Here is a 7,880-nt window from a genome sequence, read left to right on the forward strand (position 1 = left end):
AGGCTACACATGCATTTTTAGCGAGTGGGCATAGTCACAAGTGTGGAATCTGCATGTAGCGGGGATGGCCTGCACTAACCAAACAGGACCACACTATGAAAGCAAAGAGATGGGAAGCGAGCTCAGCCAGGGAGGTCAGCAGGGGCCTCTCTGAGAAGGCGGCATGAACTCTGCAACCTGAAGGACGAGGAGCAGGCAGCAGGCGGAAGGTCTTTTCTCTAGGTCAAGTTCAGAGCACTGACCAGGCCTGGGTGGTTGCCATTACGTTCAACATAACTTTGGGGGATTTGTTTCCACTCTTTGAGTTTGCCCCATGGGTAGTCTTTTCTCTCTTTTTGTAGCTTCATTTAGATTGCTTTTGCTTCTTTTTCTTTTTTTTTTTTTTTGAGACAGAGTCTCGCTCTGTTGCCCAGGCTGGAGTGCAGTGGCACGGTCTCAGCTCACTGCAACCTCCACCTCCCGGGTTCAAGTGATTCTCTTGCCTCAGCCTCCTGAGTAGCTGGTATTACAGGTGCTTGCCACCACGCCCAGCTAATTTTTTGCACTTTTAGTAGAGACAGGGTTTCACCACGTTGACCAGGGTGGTCTCGAACTCCTGACCTGTGATCTGCCCGCCTCGGCCTCCCAAAGCGCTGGGATTACAGGTGTGAGCCACTGCGCCTGGCCCAGATTGTTTATTTTTCTTCTCATTTTATTTTCTCCTCCTCCACTACTTTGGAACTTATATATTCAATTTCTGTTCTTATGGTGGTGACCCTAGAAATTTTGGATCAACTGAATAATTTGTCTCTTAGATGAAAAATTTGTCTCTGAATATTTGTACTAAAACATACTAAGACCAAAAGTCAAAACATCATATTAGTTAACAGAAAATTGTTGTGATGTAGGCAATAAAAGGGAATTGAAAGCATTATTATTATTATTATTTGAGAGAAGGTCTTCCTCTGTTACCTGGGCCGGAGTGCAGTGGCGTGATCTCGGTTCACTGCAACCTCTGCGTCCGAGGCTCAAGGAATCCTCCTGCCTTAGCTTCCCTAGTAGCTGGCACTACAGGTGCACACCAACATGCCTGGCCAAATTTTGTATTTTTTGTAGAGATGGGGTTTTGCCATGTTGCCCAGGCTGGTGTTGAACTCCTGGGCTCAAGCGATCCACCCACCTTGGCCTCCCAAAATGCTAGGATTATAGGCATGAGACACTGTGCCCGGCAGAAAGGATTATTTTAAAATCAGTTGTGCCATATACATTTGGCCAAATATGAGGCCAACAAATTGTTACTGAGTGGTGGGCTCACTATCCAATACTATGGCACAGGCTTTTGGAAAAAAGAAAGAGCTTTATTGTGAGTCAATGGCAAGGAGACAGGAGGCAGTGTTCAAATCTGTCTCTCTGATCTGGGGTGGGTGGAGCTTTTATGGCATTTATAACTAGTCCCAGTTGATGCCCACACAGCTGGTCTGCCAGGCTGGCAGCATTAACAGGAGGTTAAAGTGTTTTCTCTTGTGCACGCCTGGGCAATTCCGGCTCTGCATCACCAGTAACAACTTACGCAATGGTTGATCAGTTTGAGCTGGTCTCACGGTTACAATATATTTTAATATCTACATTACCCAAAACCCATATTTCCCTCTCCATAGCATGGCTGCGATGACACTTGATTTTGTGGCTGAAACAGGACTCTTGATTTGCCAGTAATGACCTGGACCACCAAACTCTGTCAGATGCCATTCAAAGTAATGCTTGCATACATCACAACAGAAATTATAGATTTTGACCACACTATGAGCTGAAATTCCAGTAATAGCAGTAGGTGCTTTCTTTGTGACTTCTGTAAATCATAAGAATAGAAGGTGAAGCCATGTTTCCAGGGAAATGTTGGATTTTGTGGAAAAAGCTCCCTTTTCAGAGGCCCATGACAATTGGCAATTTCTCTGAATAGCTATCTTTGCATTGATGTTGTACCACTCACTGTAAGTACTGGCGAAGTGAGGAACATTCAGGGGCCACAGATAACAACTTACCTTGCTTGAAGAGGTCAGTGGCTGGGAGGCTTGAAGCCTTAACAATAATAGGCTGTGGTGTATCATGAAAGAAACATCTACCCATTGGAAGAGGTGAAACGAAAATGCCCTCAAAAATAAAACTGCTAAAAAATAAAATCTGAATTTGACCTTCAGGAGTTAATCATAGTTGAAGAATTTGATCTGCAGGACCTGGCAGGGACAAATTGTTAAATTGATCTGAAATTTTGACCAGGTGTGCTAAACTTGTAAAGGTCGAAGTTAATCAATATTTCATGCTTCTTCCAAATGGTACAAAATCATAGAATCATCTCCTGTCTCTCCTCTTCTGACTTATATGCAATTGTGTTATATCGTTTATGTTATGGTCTGGCTGTGTGCCTTGTAGTTCCCATAATCTCATCTTGTAGTTCCCATAATCCCCACAGGTCATGGGAGGTACCAGGTGGAGATACTTGAATCACGGGGGCGGTTTCCCCCATCTGTTCTTGATACTGAGTGAGTTCTCACAAGATGTGATGTTTTTATAAGGGGCTTCCCTCTTTTGCTCAGCACTTCTCCTTGCTGCTGCCACGTGAAGAAGGATGTGTTTGCTTCCCCTTCCCCATAACAGTAAGTTTCCTGACGCCTCTCCAGCCATGCAGAACTGTGAGTCAATGAAACCTCTTCTCTTTATAAATTACCCAGTCTCGGGTATGTCTTTATTAGCAGCGTGAGAACGGACCTAATACAGTTTACTTCTAATTTTGACTTCGACAAGCAGACCTGACTTTTCTTGTTTTATTTGGTCAGGTTTGCTTAGATTTCCCCAAATGTTCCCCATGCTCTTTGCACACAATCTTTTCTTGCACCTTACATATTCCTTCTGTGGTAATTTCTCTTTGACCTGAAATATATCCTTTGGAATTGTCTTTATTGGCATTAATTAGTGCAAACATCTTAATTTTCATTTGCCTAAAAATACATCGACCAAATTAGTCCATTGTTTTCCTTTAGGATTGGTACTTTTTATGTGTTGTTAAGATGTCCCTGCCCCCGAGGCTCTAAGATGTTACTCTGTATTGTCCTCTAAATGTTTCATAGTTCTGCCTTTGATGTTTAACTGTTAAACCCCTGAAACTGATTTTTGGGTGAGGTATGAGGTAGGAGCCTATGGTGATCATTAGTGTTCTTACCACAGTATTTGCAGCTTTAAATAGTTCAGGCACATGGTAGGATTTCCAATCTCCACCAAATTCTGTATTAGTCATCTATGCTGTATAACAAATTACACAAACTTAGTGGCTTAGAGCAATACCCACTTATTAGCTCACAGTTTTCTAGGGCAAGAAGTCCAGGTTGGCTAGGTTCTCTGCCTGGGTTCTCACAAGGCTGAAATCAAGATGGCGGCTGGGACTGTGGTCCCCAACTGGAGGCTCTGAGGAGGAATATGCTTCCAAGCTCATGGGGTTGTTGACAGAATTCAGTTGCTTTTGGTGTAGAACTGAAGTCCTTGTTTTATTGCTGGCTGTCAGCTGGAGACACTCTCAACTTCTAGAGGTTGCCCTCAGATTCTAACCTGTGGCCTCTTCTCTCACAGTATGGTAGCTCACTTTTTCAAAACCAGCAGAAGAATCTCACTCCACTTGGCTATGATGGAGTCTTATATGGTGTAACCTAATCATGGGACTGACTATCCAATCACATTTGTTAGGCTTGAACACGTGACTTGTTTTGGCCAATGGTGTGCAAGCATAGTGGGGTGTGTCACCTCCTGAGAGAAGCTTTAAGAGCTGTCTGGGACATGCCACATGTCCCTCCCTTGGCTTCTGTAATTGGGGAAGTGTTTGTAGAGATGAAGCCTCAGGTCCTCAAGAGACAGTAATGGGCAGTACTTTCTTCCTGAGTTTCCCACACTGACTTTCTAACTCGAAACCTTGGTAGAGTCTGTTCTTATTTTGAATAACTTGTTTGTAGATTATTTTGGAATTTCAACATAGATAATTGCGTTATCTGTGAATAATGACAGGATTTTGTCTTCTTTTCCAGTCTTTATGAGTTTATTTTTTTTGCCTTATTGTCCCAGTTGGGGCCTTCAGTACAATTGATGAATTTGACCACATTACAATTTAGAGTTTATGTTCATCAAAAAACATGGTAAGGGCCAGGCACGGTGGCTCACGCCTGTAATCCCAGCACTTTGGGGAGGTTAGGCGGGCGGCTCACTTGAGGTGTGGAGTTTGAGACCAGCCTGGCCAACACAGCGAAACCTCATCTCTACTAAAAATACAAAAATTAGCTGGGCATGGTGGCACATGCCTGTAATCCCAGGTACTCGGGAGGCTGAGGCAGGTGAATTGCTTGAACCTGGGAGGTGGAGGTTGCAGTGAGCCAAGATTGTGCCACTGCACTCCAGCCTGGGCGACAGAGCGAGACTGTTTCAAAAACCAACCAACCAACCAACCAACAAAAAACACCATAAGAAGCATGAAAAGACAAACTACAAACTGGGAGAAGATACTGCAATGCTTAGAACTGACAAATAATTTGTATGAAGAAAAATTTTTTTTGTTGTTGCTGTTGTTTTTTTGAGATGGAGTCTCGCTCTGTCACCAGGCTGGAGTGCAGTGCCATGATCTCAGCTCACTGCAATCTCTGCCTCCCGGGTTCAAGTGATTCTCCTGACTCAGCCTGCCAAGTGGCTGAGATTAAAGGCGTGCACCACCACGCCCAGCTAATTTTTGTATTTTTAGTAGAGACGGGGTTTCACCATGTTGGCCATGATGGTCTCGATCTCTTGACCCCGTGATCCACCCACCTTGGCCTCCCAAAGTGCTGGGATTACAGGTGTGAGCCACCACGCCCGGCTGCTATAGGTTTTATTATTATTCAGATATGATGAGGCCAACAGATCAGGAGATAACCATTATTGAAAAGATAGTTTGTTACTCACAGATCTGCAGGGGAGGGGACATGCTGCACCCCGGGGTGGATGGGGGGCACAGGGAAGCAGGGGAGTTGGTCTGGAGGGATAGGGACTAAGGGGAAAGTGTGGGCAAGAGCCTTGATTGTGGTTTCTGTAGGAAAAAACGAGTGAGGCAGGGCAAGTAGGCATAGGATGGGCTAGTTTGAATAATGTTACAGGCTCTGGGGCACAGGGACTGTCCCTGCCTGTCTGGTACCTGGCCCTGGGGTGATTATGGCAGGAGGATGGTAGCCCTGAGTATGAGAACCTGATAGAAGAGGTCGTTGCAAATGTGAGCTCTGGATTAGTTAGTTGGTTTACATTTGAAAGGTGCACTCACAGATGACTTCATTTCTAGAAATTGGCTAATCCTGGGAGGGGCCATCCCTCCAGGGTCAGCACGTTCCCAGATGTCAAAGCATCAGAATACAGGAAAAAGAAGTAATGGTTAATACAATGAAGAATGCCTACAAATTCCTAAGAAAAAGAAACAACCAAAGACTCAACTGGTACTTCACAAGAGAAGAAACCCCAAAGGCAATCAGCATAAGAAAAGTCAATATGAAAATGCAACCCCGAACTATACCGAGACACTATGTCTCACCCACCAGCTTGGCAAGCACTCAAAAGCCCGTGTTGGTGAGGATGAGAAGTGTCAACCTTAAACAGTGAGATTCAGAAACTATGATTAAATGTAGAGATTCTTTGAGCCCAAAGCATGAGGATAGCCACTTGGGCAACACTGACTCCAAACAAATGGGGTCACTGTTTCAAAGTGGAGAAGTTAAGATTTCTCTTACATAGGCAGAGACAGAGAAATTTCAGCAGGATTACAACATTTTTCATACACGATCAGTGCGTACAGTGACTTGATCGGTTACAGATTGCTGCATTCCAAGGAAAATACTTTATTACTCCATGAGGAGGGGTAGAAATTCAAGGGATTCTTATCTCTGAAGTCGTTTGGTCTTCTTAATTATTTATAGGGAAAAAAAAAGGTAGAAGTTGCAGTTGCATTCCATGTGACTCAAGTTGCATAGCCATGTTCCTCTCAAGGCTCTGAATACAGTTCCAACAGCTTTAAGTCTGAATTCTTTAATTTCACAGAAGCAACTGGAAGGAACCCCAACTAAGCTATTGTTGGAAGCGTCCATGAAGCCAGATGCATATTCCCTTCAGCTAAGCGTATATACTCGTAGGTATGTTCCCAAGAGAAACCTCTAGCATGTGTCTTTATTTAAACATTTTTGGTTGAGTATACAATTCTAGGTAGTCACTTCACTCTAGCACCTTAAAAATGTCATTCCACTGTCTTCCGCTCATCCATTGCTGTTGAGAAGTCAGCTGTGGGCCAACCTTGCCTCTCTGGCTGCTTCTAAGCTACACTCCACTGTAATAATCATTCTTGATGTCCTGTAATTTGGTATCTTGAAATCATGAGCCAAACTATAGCCAGGCTTGTTTCTATCCTTACTATCCTTGTGTTTTCATGGGTGCACAAAAATCATATCACAAACCCTCTGGCCACAACCCCCAACATCTGTGTTTTGCCTTCTGCCCCATAGGAGACACCCTCACTTAACTTTCCACCACCAAGGGGAGAGTCTTGACTACTATGGTACTTTATTACTATTATTACTATGTCAATAGTAATAGTAGTGATAGTAAAGTCTCCCCTTGTGTTCCCCTGCTCCCTCTGCCTCCTGACCAACCCTCGTCCTTCCTCATGTAGACTGCATAGCATGGCATGCCCCCTGCTCCTGGGAACTGTAAGTAATAAACTTCTTTTAAGGCAGCTGTCTCCATGTCTGTCATGTTAATGTACCTGATTAAAACAAAATCCCAGGTACATTTAAAAACACCTCTTGGTATTGTATGGTGTCACTATGATGTCCCCAGCTATGGATTGCTTATCACTCATCCTAGGTTGGATTCTTTGGGATGCCCAAATCTGGGGATTGATGTTTTTCATCTGTTCTAAAAACTTCTCAGCCATTTCCCCTTCAGATCTAGCCTTTGCCCTATTCTATTCTCTTCTACTGGAGCTCCTAGGACCATACAGTGTAGCTTTTACTCCACCCCTCATGCCTCTTGGCAGCTCCTTCTTGTCTCCCATTGTCTCTCTGTGCTGTATTCTGGGCCATAGCTCAGATCTGTCTTTCCGTTCACCAACATAATTTTCAGCCATGTCTGACCATCTGTTAGTATCACTTAATATATTTTCATCTCTGGAATTACATTTAGGTCTTTCCAAATCTGCTTGGTCATTTTATAATCTCTTGTTCTTTATGTTTTAAATATTTTCTCTTAATCCTTTAATCATGCTTATTTTATATTATATTCTGATAATTTTGACAGGTCTGGGTCTGATTCTACTTTCTGTTGTTTCTTCTGACAGCAAAAACCTTTTGATAGATTATGTTCATCTAGAGGTTATTCATGCTAACATCTCCAGCTGCACGGTGGAGCTTTATTTTTCTTCTTTTATTTTTGGTTTTCTGTTTTTCTTTCTTTCTTTTCTTTTCTTTTTTTTAAACTCTTAGCATGGTGGAGCTTTATGGCATATTCTGAGCAATGTCCTGGTTTCTATTGCCTTCAGTTGCATTGCCCAATGTGGGACAGGAAATCTCACATACACAACAGCTTCTTGTTTCAGTGCTGCATTGTACTGCAATATTTTTGAAGATTTGATTTAATTTAATTTAATTTTATTTCCCGAGACAGAGTCTTGCTGTGTCACCCAGGGTGGAATGCAGTGGCGCAGTCTCGGCTCATTGCAACCTCCACCTCCTGGGTTCAGACGATTCCCCTGCCTCAGCATCCCGAGTAGCTGAAGTTATTTAAAGTGAAAATTAGGGATTCAAACTTAGGTTATGAGTCAACCACGTGTGGGGACGCAAGGCAAACACCCGGTA

At 43.4% G+C, this 7,880-nt stretch overlaps 1 annotated feature.

Moving 5' to 3' along the window:
• Nucleotides 5,556–5,615: a silencer, noted in NCBI's record as "silent region_3691". NCBI's record gives its function as "represses an Ori minimal core promoter by ATAC-STARR-seq in GM12878 lymphoblastoid cells {active_cell/tissue: GM12878}" and the evidence as "EXISTENCE:reporter gene assay evidence [ECO:0000049][PMID:35858748]".

This window comes from Homo sapiens, chromosome 11, assembly GCF_000001405.40.
Source record: "Homo sapiens chromosome 11, GRCh38.p14 Primary Assembly".
NCBI lineage: Eukaryota > Metazoa > Chordata > Mammalia > Primates > Hominidae > Homo > Homo sapiens.